Source organism: Homo sapiens, chromosome 16 (assembly GCF_000001405.40).
Source record: "Homo sapiens chromosome 16, GRCh38.p14 Primary Assembly".
In the NCBI taxonomy this organism is placed as follows: domain Eukaryota; kingdom Metazoa; phylum Chordata; class Mammalia; order Primates; family Hominidae; genus Homo; species Homo sapiens.
In genome coordinates this window covers 81,096,527-81,116,003 of record NC_000016.10, presented here as the reverse complement: position 1 = coordinate 81,116,003, position 19,477 = coordinate 81,096,527, and the positions used below count along the sequence as shown (strand labels likewise).

Genomic DNA, 19,477 nt, shown 5'->3' with positions numbered 1-19,477 from the left:
GATTCGCCCCCCTCGACTTCCCAAAGTGCTGAGATTACTGGCGTGAGCCACCGCGCCCAGCCTCATCATCCTTTTTTTTTTTTACAAATGAGGAAATCACATGTAATGAGGCTTGGAGAGGTTAAGCTGCATGAAGGGAAAATAAAATCTTGGGACCCCAATCCACTCTGCCAAAAGGAAAAAGAAAAATTAAGCTGAAAGTTGAGTCATGCAAGAAACTGCCTTTCATTTTGTTCGTAAAGAGAGAGTTACAGCTAAAAGGTTGATCTCTGCAGACAGCAGCTCCAGGTTCACCTTATCTTATGTAAAGTGCCCACTTAACTGAGCATGAGACAAATACATCATTGACTATTCCCTTACCTGCTCCTTTTCTCTGGCAACATGTGGATTCAATAGTGTCACCAGACCCTCCCTCTTTCCTCTCTAGACCGCTTTTCTCTTTTAAGTATTGAAGGCTTCGGGCTGGGCATGGTGGCTCATGCCTAATAAAAGAGGGCTTATGGCCTCTTTTATTTATGTTTTGAGACGGGATCTTGCTCTGTCACCCAGGCTGGAGTGCAATGGTGTGATCACAGCTCACGATAGCCTTGATCTCCAGGGCTCATGCGATCCTCTCACCTCAGCCTCCTGTGTAGCTGGGACCACAGGCTCACGCTACCATGCTCAGGTAATTTTCTTTTTTTTTTGAGATGGAGTCTCACTCTGTCGCCCAGGCTGGAGTGCAGTGGCACCATCTTGGGTCACCGCAACCTCCGCCTCCCAGGTTGAAGCGATTCTCCTCCCTCAGTCTCCTGTGTAGCTGGATTACAGGCGCACGCCACTACGCCCGGCTAATTTTTGTATTTTTAGTAGAGATGGGGTTTTACCATGTTGGCCAGGCTGGTCTCGAACTCCTGACCTCGTGATTTGCCCACCTTGGCCTCCCAAAGTGCTGGGATTACAGGCATGAGCCACTGCGCCCGGCCGCTCAGGTAATTTTTAAATTATCTGTAGAGATGAGGTCTTGCTCTGTTGCCCAAGTTGGTTTTGAACTCCTGGTCTCAAGCATTCCTCCTGCCTTGGCTTCCCAAAGCGTTGGGATTACAGGCATGAGCCTCCATGCCCAGCCAGCCCTCCTTTATGAAGGCAGTTAGCCGTATTAAAGCATGGTTCTCAACCTTGGCTACATATAAGAATAACTCCAAGGAGACAGTAAAAATACTGAAGCCAGGCTGGGTGCGGTGGCTTATGCCTGTAATCCCGGCACTTTGGCAGGCTGAGGTGGGCGGTTCACAAGGTCAGGAGTTCAAGACCAGCCTGGCCAACATGATGAAACCCCGTCTCTGCTAAAAATACAAAAATTAGCTGGGCATGGTGAAGCACGCCTACAGTCCCAGTTACTCAGGAGTCTGAGGCAGGAGAATCGCTTGTACCCAGGAGGAGGAGGTTGCAGTAAGCCAAGATTGTGCCACTGCACTCCAGCCTGGGTGACAGAGCCAGACTCCATCTCAAGAAAAAAATAAAAATAAAAGAGGGCTTATGTATTGTTATTTTTTCCACATACATAAGCAATTAAATGGCATGAGACAGTGTTAGGTCTTCTTTTTTGTTTGTTTTGAGACAGAGTTTCACTGTTGTTGCCCAGGCTGGAGTGTAATGGCGCGATCTCCACTCACTGCAACCTCTGCCTCCCGGATTGAAGGGATTCTCCTGCCTCAGCCTCCCGAGTAGCTGAGACTACAGGCGCCTGCCACCCCACCTGGCTAATTTTTTGTATTTTTAGTAGAGATGGGGTTTCACCATGTTGGCCAGGCTGGTTGAAAACTCCAGACCTCAGGTGATCCACTGGCCTTGGCCTCCAAAAGTGCTGGGATTACAAGTGCTAGCCACCGTGCCCAGGCAGCATTAGGTCTTTTAAGAGAGACAGGAGAAAGGAGCTGCTGGAGTCAAAGGCGGAAGCAACAGTTTGTACCAGCAACTCCAGTCTGCTCAAAGGGAAGGAAGATTCTGGAAGGCAGGAGATTTGGGTAAAAGGATGGTTCTCACTGAGGCCTGGCCAGTACCCAAGGTGGCAAACCCAGTCTGTGCTTTGTGTCCCTCGGTGTGGCCCTGTAGAGAGCTGCCCTGAGTGAGTCCAACCTTGGAGGAGAGCACGGGGAAAGCTCTCCAGATCACAGAGCTTCGGGAAGGTAGTGTCACCTTGAACCTGTTTGAAAAGGCTTCTTCTGTAGAATAGCTAGAAGGCAGGCCTCACAAGTTTTTCTTTTTTAAGCAATTTCAATTTTTATTATTTTTTTTATAGAGACAGGAGTCTCACATTGTTCCCCATGCTGATCTCGAACTCCTGGCCTCAAGTGATCCTCCTGCCTCAGCCTCCCAATGTGCTGAGATTGCAGGCATGAGCCACTGCGCCTGGCCTCAAATTTTATTTAGGTTCAGGGGGTACATGTGCAGGTTTGTTACATGAGTATATTGCGTGATGCTGAGGTTTGGGGTGCGAATGACCTCGATACCCAAGTAGTGAGCACAGTACCAGTAGATAGTTTCTCAACCCTTGCCTGCCTCCCTCCAGTCTTGCAGTCCCCAGTGTCTGTTTTTTCCATCTTTATGTCCATAACTAGCTAATGTTTAGCTCCCACTTGTAAGTCAGAACACGCAGTATTTGATTTTCTGTTCCTGTGTTAATTCGCTTAGGATAGTGGCCTCCAGCCGCATCCACGCCGCTGCAGAGGACGTGGTTTTGTTCCTTTTTGTGGCTGCAAAGTTTTTCAGTTAACAAGAAATACCATATGGCGTCATAAAACTTTTATTTATTTTTATTTATTTTTTATTTTTGAGACAGAGTTTTGCTCTTGTCACCTAGGCCAGAGTGCAGTGTCATGATCTCGGCTCACTGCAACCTCTGCCTCCTGGGTTCAAGAGATTCTCTTGCCTCAGCCTCCTAAGTAGCTGGGATTACAGGCATGCGCCACCACACCTGGCCAATTTTTATATTTTTGCTAGAGACAGGGATTCGCCATGTTGGCCAGGCTGGTCTCGAACTCCTGACCTCAGGTGATCTGCCTGCCTTGGCCTCCCAAAGTGCTGGGATTACAGGTGTGAGCCACCACGCCTGGACTATAAAACTTTTAAAAACAGATCAGGAAAAAAAAATGTCTTGAGTCCAACATCCCAGAGAAAACCACATGGTGATTGGTCCTGCTGCCATCTCACTGATGACGATCATAGCTCACTACAGCTTCAAACCCCTGAACTCAAGTGATCCTCCCGCCTCAGCCTCTTGAGTAGCTAGGATTACCAGTGCACACCATGAAGTCCAACTACCATTATCATCTTTGTCACCATCACCATCATCTTCAGCATCATCACCATCATCATCACTGTCATTGTCATTATCACTCTCACACCACAATTCCCAGCATCCTCCTCCTCCTCCTCCCCCTCATCATCATCATCATCATCACCACCTACCTGGGGGAACTGGGATGGCTCTCTTTCCCAGACCTGTTTCTGGACCTGATGGCCTATGAGATGATGATAGAACTAATCCCACATCCCGAAATGCCGATAAATCCAGTCTTGCATCCAGATGAGTTCTGGCTGAACTGCTCAAGGTCTCTGAGACCCAGCCTTTGCATTTTGGTCCCACAGAGGCATCAGCTTCAGTGAGACAGCAGCAGCCGATGCCGCCCTTGGCTACATCATTGCCTTCCTGGTACTCCTGTCCACAGTGAAGCTTTGGCATCTGCTCAGGTTGAATCCCAAAATGAACATGATCACGGCAGCCCTACGCCGTGCCTGGGGCGACATTTCAGGCTTTATGATTGTCATCCTTACCATGCTCCTGGCTTACTCCATCGCGGTAAGTATCTGCTTTGGGAAAAGTTCGGGGAGGGTCTCTGCAGAAACCAAGGCTAATTGGTGGTGGGAAAGTGGACAGTTAGGGTTAGGGAGACCCTGGGAACTCAAGGAAGGTGGTGGCTCTTGTAAGTACAGGGTGTCTTTGCTGTGAGCTCATGCACCAGTCATCTCAAATGGCAAAGGCTGGAGAGCTCAGGTGGATAGGGTGAGGAGGCATAGGCTCTAGTGCTGAAAGGATCCAGGTTTGGGAAGAATTCCTTTCTGGCTCTAGACCCCTCCTGGATGTGCCAGTTATCCTGGCTTCCCAACTGGTCAGAAGGCACAGGGCTAACTCCTAGACACACACAGAGCACTGCTGCTGTGCTGGGGGATGGATGGGGCCACCACGTCCTTGAGTTGGGGCAGAGGTGGGGATGTGAAGGTAGATACATCCACAGGCCATGCCAGTGCTTGTTGTCCAAAACATGACTCATGAGCTTGGGAGGGCCAATGCCACTTCACTCAGCACTTTAAGAGCACATTGACAAGCATGGCCCTGTGTAGAAAAACATAAATGAAAACATTGAATTTTCTTTTTTGTTGTTGAGACGGAGTCTTGTTCTGCTGCCCAGGTTGGAGTGCAGTGGCACGATCTAGGCTCACTGCAACCTTCACCGCCCAGGTTCAAGCGATTCTCTTGCCTCATTCTCCTGAGTAGCTGGGATTGCTGGTGCACAGCACCATGCCTGGCTAATTTTGTATTTGTAGTAGAGACAAGGTTTCACCATGTTGGTCAGGCTGGTCTCGATCTCCTGACTTCAGGTGATCCACCCACCTCGGCCTTCCAAAGTGCTGGGATTACAGGCATGAGCGACCGTGTGTGGCTTTTTTTTTGTTTTTGGAGACAGAGTCTCACTCTGTTGCCCAGGCTGGAGTGCAGTGTCACAATCTCGGCTCACTGCAACCTCTGCCTCCCAGGTTCAAGCGATTCTCCTGTTTCAGCCTCCTGAGTAGCTGGGACTACAGGCATGTGCCACGACACCCGGCCAATTTTTGTATTTTTGGTAAAAACAGTGTTTCATCATGTTGGTCTCAAACTCCTGACCTCAGGTAATCTGCCTACCTTGGCCGCCCAAAGCGCTGGGATTACAGGCGTGAGCCACCGCGCCCAGCCAAAAACATTAAATTTTCAATTCTTTTTTATGATCATGTGAGAAACAAAGCCCCTCTTACATCCTGGCCCCCACCACATCCTGATGTCCTTCTAAATACACCCCCTACTGCCCACCATGTTCCCATGCAAGCCCTGGCCTTCCGTTCATCTCTGGCCTTTAGCACAATCCTGGCCCACTCCCTACCCCAGGGCCTTCCCCATCCTCACCCTGGCTCCATCCAGTCTCTTGCCTTCCTCTCCTCCCTGATCATCCTATCCACCAGCCCATCGCATCCTAGTCCCCACTCCACCCCAACCCTCACCCCACTCTGCCTCCCTGTCACCTCAGGCTTGACCCCTTCCATCCCTAGCCCCACCCGATCTTCCTCTCCCACCCCTGGAAACAGGTGGGGTGCACTGAGGGAGTGATGGGGGTGTGTTCTGGAAAGTTGGAGTCTGTGATTTTGGTGAAAGCTCCCCTCTAAATCCTAATGTGAATTTCTTCAGACTTCCATGCAGTGTCTGGGCTGCAGGGACATTGCAGTGTCCCATGGGACCAAAAGTCATCAACTCAGAGACAGAGCCAGGGGCTGCTGGGCCTCCCTCTGACACTGCAGCCCTGGGAAAGTCTTGGGAGTGAGGGGTTGTGGTGAGGGAAAATGCAGTGAGGGGAGGTCCTCACCCAGGCAGAAGCCCATCATCCATTCAACCCAGTTCCCCAGAGCGAAGGGTTTGGAGCCGCAGAGTGCCCAGACTCATTGTCAGGTATTTGCACCGCATCTGGGGAACACTGCGGTGGCTTAGCAGGTGGCTGCCTGAGCCCCAGAGGCACCCTGGGCACTCCCTCATCCTGGTGGGCACAGAGATAGGCATCATCAACAGGCCATGGACACAATAAAGGTCCTGGACAAGGTCATCCAGGCAGCACTTCCAGAAACTTGACACACACGTGCACATGGATGCACACACGTGCACACCTACACACATGCACACATGCACGCGCATACACGTACACACAAACAAATATACACACACATATGCACACACATAAACACTATACATGGATACACACACATACACATATACACATGCATGTGCACACAAATACACTACACATAGATACACACATATACATACACAAAAGTGCATATGTGCAGATATTGATGCCCACAGGCATACACATGTACACTCTCACACAGACACACGTGTGGCCTCGCATGCACAGACCCACAGAGAGAAACACATGCATGCCACATAGAACCAGTTGTGGACCGGGTGCAGTGGCTCACGCCCATAATCCTATCACTTTGGGAGGCCAAGGTGGGTGGATCACCTGAGATCCGGAGTTCGAGGCCAGCCTGACCAACATGGTGAAACCCTGTCTCTACGAAAAATAGAAAAATTAGCCAGACGTGGTGGTGTGTGCCTGTAGTCCCAGCTACTTGTGAGGCTGAGGGAGGAGAATCGCTTGAACCCAGGAGGCGGAGGCTGCAGTGAGCCCAGATCGAACCATTGTACTCCAGCCTGGGTGACAGAGCAAGACTCCATCTCGCAAAAAAAACAAACAAAAACCTGTTGTGTACACACACCCACTTGCACACCCCTGTAGGTACAGTAGCTTGACCAGCCCAGCCAGGGCAGTGGCTGACACAGACCACCCACTCCACTGTGAAACAGCAGGCTGTTTGGGCCTTGGCAGCCTCCTTCCCTGTTCATGAGAATTCTTTCCATGACAGTCAAACTTGATATTTGGTTGGAAACTCCGTTCCTACAAAACCCTCTTTGATGCGGCGGAGACGATGGTCAGCCTTCAGCTGGGAATCTTCAACTACGAGGAGGTAACGGGGTGAGGGCACGGTTGCTGCCATCTATACGGAGCCTCTGTGAAGATTAGAAAAAGCACTCCCTGTCCACCCCGCCCCGTGCCATCCCTTGGGCCCATGGCCTGGCAAGCACCGGGCAAGTCTGGACAAACAGAAATGTTCCCCCTCCTCTAGGTAGACACCCCTGCTAGAGCCCACAGCTTGCCCTTGGGATCCCTGCTCACAGAGGAACATTGGGTGCTGGCTACTCAGGGGAGGGCTGTACAGGGGTCTCCCAAAGGAAACACCCCCTACCCTGGGCAGAAAGGGCAGCCGTCTTTGGAGGTGGCAGCCGTGGAAAGTGAGGGGCTGCCCGTTCTCTCCTTGCCCAGCTCTCTCAGCCCCAGGCAGAGGGGACCTTCCAGGCTCTAGGCTCTGCCTAACTCTGAGGACCATTTTCCCTCTGAGGGTTCCCAGTAGGGGAAGTGGCTACTGGGACCCAGGACACTGGATGACCCTGGCTTTCTTTCTGACAGGTCCTGGACTATAGCCCAGTGCTTGGCTCCTTCCTCATTGGATCCTGCATTGTTTTTATGACATTTGTGGTGCTGAACCTGTTTATCTCTGTCATCCTGGTGGCCTTCAGTGAGGAGCAAAAATACTATCAGGTGAGTCGCTTTGGCCTATTCCTCATCAGTCATTGAACTATGAAGAGGCTGGAGCGGTGTTAGACTTTAGGGAACTTGAGAGATCATTGTAGCTCAGAGCCCTCATTTAACAGGAGGGGAAACTCAGGCATAGACAGAGGACATTAATTCCCCAAAATCACAAGCAAGTGAGGGGCAGGGCTGGGACCAGAGCTGTGTCTCCTGATTCCCAATGTGAGACTCTGTTCGCGACACCAGTGACCTCCACCCTGAGTGCACCTTAGAATCACCTGGGGCCTTTTGGAAACAACGGCTGCCCAGCCAGAGACCAATACCAACAGAGACCAACACCAACAGAGACCAACACCAACAGAGACTAATACCAACAGAGACCAACACCGACAGAATCTCTGGGAGAATGAGCCAGTCCTTGGTATGTTTGAAATCTCTTTGGGTAACTTTTTTTTTCTTGAGACAGAGTTTTTGCTCTTGTTGCCCAGGCTGGAGTGCAATGGCACAATCTTGGCTCACTGTAACCTCCACCTCCTGGGTTCAAGCGATTCTCCTGCCTCAGCCTCCCAAGTAGCTGGGATTACAGGCATGCGCCACCACACCTGGCTAATTTTTTGTACTTAGTAGAGACGGGGTTTTACCATGTTGGTCAGGCTGGTCTTGAACTCCTGACCTCAGGTGATCCACCAATCTTGGCCTCCCAAAGTGCTGGGGTTACAGACATGAGCTACCACGCCCAGCCATCTCTTTGGGTAATTTTCAGGTTAATGAACAGCCAAGGTTGAAAACACATACTACACTCCAAAACCTCAACCCACGTCGTCATGGCTCGGAGGGCAACAAGCTGGGCACTCGTGATCGACCTCCCACCCATGGAAGAGTCAGCGTGCTGGGCTGCCTGCAGGAAGAGGGATATGAGCACACAGACTGCAGGTTAATAACAGCCACCAGCACCACCCACACAGCGCTCTCTTCACAACCGAAGTTGTGTTTTATTTAATCGTCAAAACAGCTCTCTGAAGTAGGTATAATTATTCACAACGTACAAAGAAGGAAACCAAGGCTCACAGAGATGAAATCATTTACCTAGAACCACAGAGCTAGAAAGTAGGAAAGGTGGGATTTCAACCTGGATCTGTCTGACTTGGATGTATGGTTTTGTTTTGTTTTCTTTTCCTGCCCTTCTGGAGGTATGACTGTGTGAACGGTGACGTATTATGCAGCTCACCCTTCCTGTCCCAGTTGAAAGATTCTTTCAATCTGTATGCCTAAGCCGGGTGTGGTGGCACACACCTGTAGTCCTAGCTACACAGGAGGCTGAGGTGGGAGGATCACCTGAGCCCAGGAGACGAAGCCTGCAGTGAGCTGTGATCATGCCACTGCACTCCAGCCTGGGTGACAAAGCAAGATCCTGTCTCAAAAGAAAAAAAAGAAAAATCTGCACGTCTAACAAAGAAACCTTTGTTAAGACACTCTTCTTTGAATTTTTCCATTTCTATACAAGAGCAGCAATTTGGTATTGTTGTTTTTCTAAATTGCAAAAGATTTCATAAAGGTGACATACTCCATCATGTTGAAGGATCATTGTAAAGAGTTATTTTTCCTGGAAACCAGGAAATTATTGCCCACAGGATTCAAGAATGCTAAGAATGCTGCCCCTCTTCTGTTGCTAAATGGTCTCTGGTACGCTTGTAACGTGTGTCCCGGATCTGTGTTTGGAAAGGAAATACAAATTTTTATTTCACTAAACTCTCACTTAACACAGAACACTTCTGTGACCAAATGTGTGGAGATTTTCTGCACACACCAAGCAATTCTCCAGCAGACACCAACTGGGTATCTTATACCGATTGGGCATCCCTAATCCAAAAATCAGAAATCCAGAATGCTCCAAAATCCAAAATTGTTTGCATGCTCACCTGAGGTGAAACATGGAAAATTCCACACATAAATACTTAATACAAACTTTGTACAGAGAGGATCAGCATGACCCCTGTGCAAGGAGGTCGTGCAAATTCACAAAGTGTTTCATATTTTTAATATAATTTTAAAATAAAAAAATATATACTGGGCTGGGCCCAGTGGCTCACGCCTGCAATCCCAGCACTTTGGGAAGCTGAGACAGGAGAATCACTTGAGGCCAGGAGTTCAAGACCAGCCTGGGCAATATAGAAAGACCCTATCTGTGCAAAAAATACAAAAATTAGCTGGGCCTGGTGGCATGTGCCTCTTCTTCTGGCTACTTGGGAGGATAGCTTGAGCCCAGGATGCAGTAAGCCATGATTGCACCACTGCTCTCTAGCCTGCACGACAGAGCAAGATGCTATCTCTAAAACATAAATAAAAATTAAAAACACATATTGTATGAAATTACCTCCAGGCTATGTGTATAAGGTGTATATAAATATAAATAAATTTCCTGTTTAGTCTTGGGTCCCATTCCCAAGATACCTCATTATGCATTCTCCAAAATCTGAAAAAATCTGAAACACAAAACACTAGTCATCCCAAGCATTTTGGATGAGGGATACTCAATCTGTATAACAACTATTTATATATAGCATTTACATTGTGTTAAGTATTATAAGTACTTACTGGTACTTATAGGCCAGGTGCAGTGGCTCAAACCTGTAATCCCAGCACTTTGGGAGGCTGAGGCGGGCTGATCACCTGAGGTCAGGAGTTCGAGACCAGCCTCAACATGGAGAAACCCCATCTCTACTAAAAATACAAAATTAGCCCGGCGTAGTGGTACATGCCTGTAATCTCAGCTACTCGGGAGGCTGAGGCAGGAGAATTGCTTGAACCTGGGAGGCGGAGGTTGCGGTGAGCTGAGATCGTGCCATTGCACTCCAGCCTGGGCAACAAGAGCAGAAACTCCATCCCAAAAAAAAAGAAAAAAAAAGGTACTTATAGATGATGACTTAAAGTATACAGGAGAATGTGTGTGGGTTATATGTAAATATTATGGCTTTTTTTTTTTTTTTTTTTTTATCAGAGACTTGACCATCCGAGGATTTTCTGGTGACCTGCCTCATCCTGAAGCTATCTAGGGGCCTGCCCTAAGTCACTCATTAGCAAAAACTCAGATGTGATGAAAGGGGGCTCATCATGAATAGCAAAAGACACTCCTATTATTGCCGGGCGCGGTGGCTCACGCCTGTAATCCCAGCACTTTGGGAGGCCGAGGCGGGCGGATCACCTGAGGTCGGGAGTTCGAGACCAGCCTGACCAACATGGAGAAACCCCGTCTCTACTAAAAATACAAAAAAATTAGCTGGGCATGGTGGCACATGCCTGTAATCTCAGCTACTTGGGAGGCTGAGGCAGGAGAATCGCTTGAATGCAGGAGGCGGAGGTTGCAGTGAGCCAAGATCACGCCATTGCACTCCAGCCTGGGCAACAAAAGCAAAACTCTGTCTAAAAAAAAAAAAAAAAAAGACACTCCTATTATTAGTAAATTCTAAGGGTTTCAGGAGCTCTGTGATGGGAACCGAGGTCAAAGATCAACTATGGTTCATATTATACCACAATGCCTTTGTCCTGCAAAAAGATTTGATATTTTAAAAACAATTTTGTAGTGTTGGGGAAATGTTTTCATTTTAGCAAGGAAGCAGAGAGCATTGCTAGGTCTGATGCCCAGGTACTCCAACTGTACCTTAATTTGGAGATGCAATTAAGTAGCCACCTTTAATTAAAGTTACTTTCTCCGAGTGGGTTCCTTCTATCAGAAGATTGAACTTGTCCATTGTAAATAAATTATTTTTTTAACAATGAAGATATATTTCATGTGCCATAAAATTAGCCATTTTAAATCATACAATTAAACGTTTTTTAGTATATTCAGAGAGTTGTGCAAACATCGTCACTAATTCCAGAATATTTTTTTTCTTTCTTTTTTTTTTGAGAGAGCGTCTCGCTCCATCGCCCAGGCTGGAGTGCAGTGGCAGATCTCGGCTAACTGCACCCTCCCCCTCCCGGGTTTAAGTGATTCTCCTGCCTCAGCCTCTTAAGCAGCTGGGACTACAGGAGCACGCCACCATGCCTGGCTAATTTTTTGTATTTTTAGTAGAAGCGGGGTTTCACCATGTTAGCCAGGCTGCTCTGGAAGTTCTGACCTTGTCATTTGCCCACCTCGGTTTTCCAAAGTGTTGGGATTACAGGTATTAGCCACCACACCCGGCCTTCTTTTTTTTTTTTTAATAGAGACGGGGTTTTGCTATGTGGCTCAGGTTGTTCTCAAACTCCTAGGCTCAAGCAATCCACCCACCTTGGCTTCCCGAAGTGCTAGGATTACAGGTGTGAGCCACCACACCCAGCCCTAGAACATTTTCTTTTTCTTTTTTTCTTTTCTTTTCTGTTTTTTGTTTGTTTGTTTTGTTTTTTGTTTTGTTTTGTTTTGTTTTGAGCCAGAGTCTTGCTCTCTCACCCAGGCTGGAGTGCAGTGGCGTGATCTTGGCTCACTGCAACCTCCGCCTCCCGAGTTCAAATGATTCTTTTGCCTCAGCATCCTGAGTAGCTGGGATTACAGGTGCCTGCCACCACACCCAGATAATTTTTGTATTTTTAGTAGGGATGAGTTTTTCCATGTTGGCCAGGGTGGTCTCGAACTCCTGATCTCAGGTGATCTGCCAGCCTCGGCCTCCCAAAGTGCTGGGATTACAGGTGTGAGCCACCGTGCCTGGGCTCAGAACATTTTCAATACCACAAAGAAGCCCCCTACCTATTAATAATCACCTCCCATATCCATGCCTCCAGCCCCTGGCAACCACTAATCTACGTTCTATTTCTTTGGATTTGCCTATTCTGGAAATTCATATTCATATAAATGAGCTCGGACAATATGTGGCCTTTTATGTCTGGCTTATTTCATTTAGTATCATGTCTTCAAGATTCATCCATGTCGTAGCGTGTATCCACGTCATTCCTTTTTACGGCTGAGTCATATTTCATTGTGTGGGTAAAACAACGATGTGCTTATCCATTCCCCAGCTGATGGGTATTTGGGTTGTTTCTGTATTTTGGCTTTAACAAACGATGCTGCTATGAACATTCTGTGGGCAGAATTTCATATGGACATGTGTTTTCGCTTCTCTTGGGCATATACCTGGAAGTGAAATTTCTGGTTTACACAGTAACTGTTTAATTGTTTGAAGACCTGCCACACTGTTTTCTGAAGCAGCTGTACCATTTTAGATCCCCAGCAGCAATGTGCAGGACCTTTGCACATAAATTCTTCTGTTTGTTTGTTTGCTTGCTTGCTTTTGAGAAAGGGGCTTGCTCTGTCACCCAGGCTGGAGTGCAGTGGTGCAATCTCAGCTCACTGGAACCTCGGCCTCCTGGGCTCGAGCCATCCTCCCACCTTAGACCCAGTAGCTGGGACTGCACCACACCTGGCTAATTTTTTTGTATTTTTGGTAGAGATGGGGTTTCCCCATTTTGGCCGGGCTGGTCTCAAATTTCTGGGCTCAAGTGACCTGCCTGCCTCAGCCTCCCACATTGCTGGAATTATAGGTGTGAACCGTCACACCTGGCCTGATTTTTAAACACTCTTCTTTTTTTTTTTGAGATGGAGTTTTGCTCTTGTTGCCAGGCTGGAGTGCAATGGCACGATCTCGGCTCACTGCAACCTCTGCCACCTGAGTTCATGCAATTCTCCTGCTTCAGCCTCCCAAGTAGCTGGGATTACAGGCATGTGCCCACCATGCCCAGCTAATTTTGTATTTTTAGTAGAGATGGGGTTTCACCATGTTGGTCAGGCTGGTCTCAAACTCCTGACCTCAGGTGATCTGCCTACCTTGGCCTCCCAAAGTGCTGGGATTACAGGTGTGAGCCACCACTTTCAGCTGTGATTTTTAAAATTATCTGTAGAGATGGGGTCTCACTATGTTGTCCAGGATGGACTCGAACTCCTAGGATCAAGCAATCGTCTCACCTTGGCCTCCCAAAATCCTGGGATTATAAATATAATAAGCCCCTGTGCTCAGCCTGTACATAAGTTCTTAACAGCCTCTGTTGGGGTGGTAGAGAGCATTTTCTGACGAGTTTACTGAACGTGCCTCATTGGTACCTATAGTCTGCCATTCCTGTTTCCTAGAAGTTGTTCTTTCTTTGCTTTAAGTCACTCTTAAATATGTGTATATGGTTGAGAAGTGTGGGAAAGCCAGAGAGAAACATCTATTTATTTTTTCATTCCCAGAACTTCCTCCCATACCAGGCTAGGCCAGGAGGTAAACAGAGCAAGCAGAAGGAATAATAATAAAGAACCACAAGGCCAGGCCCAGAGGCTCACGCCTCTAATCCTAGCACTTTGGGAGGCTGAGGTGGGTGAATCACCTGAGGTCAGGAGTTCGAGACCAGCCCCGCCAACATGGTGAAACCCTGTCTCTACCAAAGATACAAAAATTAGCTGGGCGTGGTGGTGTGTGCCTATAATCCCAGCTACTCGGGAGGCTGAGGCAGGAGAATAGCTGGAATCCAGGAGGCGGAGGCTGCAGTGAGCCGAGATTGAGCCACTGCACTCCAGCCTCGGCGACAGAGCTAGACTCTGTCTCAGAAAAAAAAAGAACGAAAGAAGGAGCCACCACCAACACTCTGACCTAGAGGAAAAGGGGAGACACTCATCTCAGAAGGGGGCCCATGTGCTGTTTAACTTCAGGCTCAGCCGCCCAGCCGAGGCTTACTCTGCGCTGGCTTGGGAATTTGAAATGTGGCAGTGAAAACTCAGTCATCCTCATCAGAGAGGTGGAGGGAGCCCGCTGAGGATAAAGGATGGAGCACACACCCTTGGCATTCCCAGAGGGAGGCCTTTCTGCCCTAAAACAGCTCTCAACAGTGAAGTAACCTAGGTTGAGACCAAACTGGACAATAAAACTGTGATTTCGGCCAGGGATGATGCGATGGCTCAAGCCTGTAATCATCCCAGCACTTTGGGAGGCCGAGGCAGGTGGATCACTAGATGCCAGGAGTTTGATACCTGCCTGGCCAACATGGTAAAACTCTCTCTCTACTAAAAATACAAAAATTAGCTGAGCGTGGTGGCGGGTGCCTGTAATCCCAACTACTCGGGAGGCTGAGGCGGGAGAATCGCTTGAACTCGGGAGGCGGAAGTTGCAGTGAGCCAAGATTGTGCGACTGCACTCCAGCCTGGGCGACACAGTGAGACTCCATCTCAAACAATAAAATAAAATAAAATAAATAAAAATAAAAACTATGACTTCCCCTTAGAAAGAAAAGCCCCCAAAGAAGATGGTTCTATGGGCATTGCCTGGTTCTTTCTCTTGCAGCTGTCGGAGGAAGGGGAGATCGTAGATTTGCTGCTGATGAAAATACTCAGTTTCCTGGGCATTAAGTCTAAGAGAGAGGAGCCTGGAAGCAGCAGGGAGCAGCCTGGGTCTCTGTCCCAGACTCGCCACTCTCGACCAGCACAAGCTTTGCCCAAGGACTAAGCTGTTCGTCCACACGCCACCATCTACCAGTGGGGACGCCCAGGGCCTCGGGCGTACGCTTACCAGCGACTCTATAGTCTCTCTAGGTCATAGCTTTCATGTCCATTGAAGAATTACCAAGCCCAGCAAGTAAAAAAAATTACAATAACAGAGATATATGTAAAATTGCCAATACTATGAGAGCTTCTTTGTTCAAATGTATTTCCTCTTATTATAAATAAAACAAATATTACATGGAGTTTGGAAAATTTCCTGCACAGACTAATTATTTCGTCTTTTTAGTCCGTTGGGGGTTGCTTTTGAATGATTCTAGTTCAGGGCTTCTCAAACTGTCTGAGAGATGCTAATGGATGCTGTATTAGTTTCCCAGAACAATGTATCACAAACGAAGTGGCTTAAAACGACAGAAATGCATTCTGTCCCAGCTCTGGAGCCTGGAAGTGTGCAATCAAGATGTTGGCAGTGGCCGGGCATGGTGGCTCACGCCTGTAATCCCAGCACTTTGGGAGGCCGAGGCGTGCGGATCACTTGAGGCCAGGAGTTCGAGACCAGCCTGGCCAACAGGGTGAAACCCTGTCTCTACTAAAAATACAAAAATTAACCAGGTGTGGTGGCGGGCGCCTGTAGTCCCAGCTACTCAGGAGGCTGAGGCAGGAGAATCCCTTGAACCCGGGAGGCGGAGGTTGCAGTGAGCCTAGGTGGTGCCACTGTACTCCAGCCCGGGCGACAGAGCATGACTCCGTCTCACAAAAAAAAAAAAGAAAAGAAAGAAAAAAGATGTTGGCAGTGCCATGCTCCCTCTGAGGGCTCTAGGGAAGAATCCTTCTTGCCTCTTCCAGCTTTTGGTGTTGGCCAGCCAGCCTTGGTGTCCCTTGGCTTCTAGATGTGTCACTCCCAGATGGGAAGAAGCTTGCTGGGAGCCTGTGTTCCTTCTCCTTTTCTCAGCACACCAGCCATATTGAATTAGGGGCCCACCCTAGTCCAGGGTGACCTCATCTGAACTAATTATAATACATCTGCAGGGATCCTGTTTCCCAATATGGTCACATCTGAAGAACTGGGACTTAGGACTTTGACATACCTCTTTAGGAGCCACAATTCAAACCAGAACAGGTGTCATTCCTCCAAAAATGTTTCTGGGTCAAATAAATATGGGGAATACTGGTTTATAAAAGTTTTTTTGTTTGTTTGTTTGTTTGTTTGAGACAGGGTCTTGCTCTGTTGCCCAGGCTGGAATGCAGTGGCATGATTTCAGCTCACTGAAACCTCTGCCTCCCAAGATCAAATGATTCTTGTGTCTCAGGCTTCCCAGTATCTGGGACTACAGGCACACAAGAGCATGCCTGGGTAATTTTTGTATTTTTTTGTAGAGACGGGGTTTCACCATGTTGGCCAGGCTGGTCTTGAACTCCTGGCCTCAAGTGATCTGCCTACCTAGGCCTCCCACAGTGCTGGGATTACAGGCATGAGCCACCGCACCCAGTCTACTGTATTGTTATAAGAGGAAAATATGTCTATCAGCTCAAAGAGATGAATGGGCCCCTCTCAAAACACCTGGAAGAAATGACCACCTGGAATTTTCCAGAGCTTATACTCAATGGGCAACGAGATGACCTTTAAAATCTCAAACCAGGAGGTTACAAAGATTACTAGGTAGAAAAAGAAAAAAAATTTTGACTGTCTTCAATGCTTTTTACCAAAAGAAAAACACATGTCATATTTTTTGGTGGAAGGGCCTTTTTGTAGCCCATATGTTGATGTTGATGTGTGATCTTTTTCTTCCCATCACATGAGTTAGTGAAGCTGAGAATAAATATGTTAGGGTGTAAGTGGCACGATGCTGCACTGTCTTGTAATGAAACAACAATAGAAAACAACATCTTGACATTAGAGAAGGTAGCCAAGATCTGTAGTGCAGGGTAGACCAGCGTGATCCAGTCAGCATCCCAAACGAAAGCAAGCGGAGCAGAGCTTAAGAGCAATTGCTGGCCAGGCACGGTGGTTCATGCCTGTAATCCCAGCACTTTGGAAGGCCGAGGTGGGTGGATTACAAGGTCAGGAGTTCGAGACCAGCTTGGCCAACATAGTGAAACCCCATCTCTACTAAACATACAAAAATTAGACGGGCGTGGTGGCACGTGGTCCTGTAGTCCCAGCCACTCGGGAGGCTGAAGCAGGAGAATTGCTTGAACCCGGGAGGCAGAGGTTGCAGTGAGCCAAGATCACGCCACTGCGCTCCAGCTTGGGCGACAGAGCTAGACTTCGTCTCGAAAAAAAAAAAGAAAAAAAGAAGAGTTGCTTTCTAATCAGTGTAGAGGCCAAGGTCTACTACTGCCACCTAGGAGCTACTTAAGCCACAAAAACGCCTCCCCGATCCCACTCCTCGGAAGTGCCTTCACCTCTGAGCCTCATCTATGAAATGAGTGTAACACCTGCCAGAAAGAGGTTTGGAGAGGATTAAAAAGATGTGTGCATAGTGCCAGGCACATAGCAAAGGCTCAATAGATGGGAATGATTTGCTCAAAAGAAAGTGGGCATGACGGCCCTTGCAAGCCACTGCACAGATGTGGTGGCAACCCTAAGTTCATAGCAGGGCAGAAGCTCAGTGCAACAACGTATGGGCTCCCCAAACACACACACACTCCATGGTGTGCACCCTATGGTACTGTTTCCGGTGTTTGAACAAGAACAACTCCATTTTGAATATGGGCTGGGTAAAATGAGGCTGAGACTTGGTGGGCTGCATTCCCAGGAGGTTAGGCATTCTTTTTATTTGTATTTTTTTCTGAAGCAGAGTCTCGCTCTGTCACCCAGGCTGGAGTGCAGTGGCGTGATCTCGACTCACTGCAACCTCTGCCTCCCAGGCTCAAGTGATTCTCGTGCCTCAGCCTCCTGAGTAGCTGGGATTACAGGCACCTGCCACCATGCCTGGCTAAACTTTGGATTTGTAGTAGAGACGGGGGTTTCTCCATGTTGGCCAGGTTGGTCTCGAACTCCTGACCTCAAGTGATTCACCTGCCTCACTTAGTCACAGGATGAGCTAGGGTTGGCACAAGATACAGGTCACAAAGTCCCTGCTGATAAAATAGGATGCGGTAAAGGAGCTGGCCAAAACTCACCAAAACCAAGATGGCGACCTCTGGTAGGTCTCACTGCTCATTATACGCTAATTATAATGCATTAGCATGTTAAAAAAAAAACAACTCCCACCAGCGTCATGACAGTTCACAAATGCAATGGCAACGTCCAGAGAAGTTACCCTATAGTCCAAAAAGCGGAGGAACCGTTAGTTCTAGGAAATCCCTGCCCCTTTTCTGGAGAACTCTTGAATGATCCACCCCTTGTTTAGCATACAATCAAGAAATAACTATAAGTACACTTAGTCGAGAAGCCATACTGCTGCTCTGTCTACGAAGAAGCCATTCTTTTTTTTCTTTACTTCTCTATTAAACGTGCTTTCACTTTATAGACTCTCCCCAAATTCTTTCTTGCATGAGGTCCAAAAACCCTCTCTTGGGGTCTGGATTGGGAGCCCTTTCTGTAACAGTACTAAAGGTGTGTGTGTAGCTTAAGGTGTTTTTCAGAACAGTATTTCTTTGCTGACTCATGGCCACTCCATAAAATCTGTGTTAAAGGTGAGGTTTTTCCCAGAACCTAATTTTTTTCTGACTTCTTGGATTGGGATGATGACTTCGGCTTTTCTCGGAAGGCCTTGGTCACACCGCTGGCCGATGAAACAAGGAATTGTGCACACTGGGTCTCAGCTCTCTGCGTTTTGAATATTTCTGCATTAGTGACTGGCTTGGGTCCAGTCTCCACCAAGAAGCCACTTATGACCCTTGGACAAGTCTTTATTCCTTTTTAAGTAAGCTTCTGGATTCTGCCGGTCCTGTTTGGGGTCCCTGGGGCTCTTTGAGACAGGAACGTTACAGAGCAGTTGAAGGAGAATAGAAACTTCCAGGCTGCAGTTCTGTCTAACAAAAGGAAACTGTTGAAATAGCTGCACAAGCTATGGGCTAAGACCCTGAAAAACCAGGGTGTGGGTCAACCTGGCTAAAACCAACTGGACCCAACGTGGTGTGGCTTTGACCTAGGCTTCACCTAGGACTCATTAACATACTAAGTCACACACCCACCGGCACCACAACAATTCCGGGAACACCCATATTTGGTGTAAAAATGGGTGGCACCACAGTTCTGACAAGTCTCCACCTTATTCCAGAAACCTTTGTGTATATTCCATTTCTCAAAGAAACCCATAAAGATGGAAACCCCAAGCCCCATTGTGTGGCCCTCTTTTGAGTCCGCCCTTTCTTCAGTGTGTACTTTGCAGTAAACCTCTGTACTTTCACGACTTTCCGACTTGTTCTTGAATTCCTTCGTGAGGTGGTGAAACCACCTTTGAAAACTTATGACAGAGGCAGTAAAAGAGATACACATGTGGAAAGGAACCCAGTCTGGGGCTAGGCCCCGCCCCCCTCCTGCGGGCAGCCCAATCATACCCAGGCCCGCCGCGCTAGTCTCCGCCTCTCGGTGCTGCCTCTTCCGGGCCTCAGGTTCTTCCCCATGCCCACGCCCCTCTTTCGCGTCGCCGTA

At 48.1% G+C, this 19,477-nt stretch overlaps 2 pseudogenes across 1 annotated transcript in view, besides 1 other annotated feature; both read left to right on the top strand.

Annotated features, from left to right (window-relative positions):
- Positions 1 to 15,129, top strand: part of PKD1L2 (polycystin 1 like 2 (gene/pseudogene)) — a 119,520-nt pseudogene extending 104,391 nt beyond the window's left edge. The window contains exons 40-43 of the transcript NR_126532.3: positions 3,631 to 3,841; positions 6,709 to 6,810; positions 7,311 to 7,442; positions 14,720 to 15,129. The product of NR_126532.3 is annotated as a polycystin 1 like 2 (gene/pseudogene), transcript variant 1, non-coding (transcript). The remainder of the gene's footprint in view (positions 1 to 3,630; positions 3,842 to 6,708; positions 6,811 to 7,310; positions 7,443 to 14,719) is intronic.
- Positions 9,365 to 9,471, top strand: RNU6-1191P (RNA, U6 small nuclear 1191, pseudogene; annotated as a pseudogene).
- Positions 19,273 to 19,372: a silencer, noted in NCBI's record as "silent region_7752". NCBI's record gives its function as "represses an Ori minimal core promoter by ATAC-STARR-seq in GM12878 lymphoblastoid cells {active_cell/tissue: GM12878}" and the evidence as "EXISTENCE:reporter gene assay evidence [ECO:0000049][PMID:35858748]".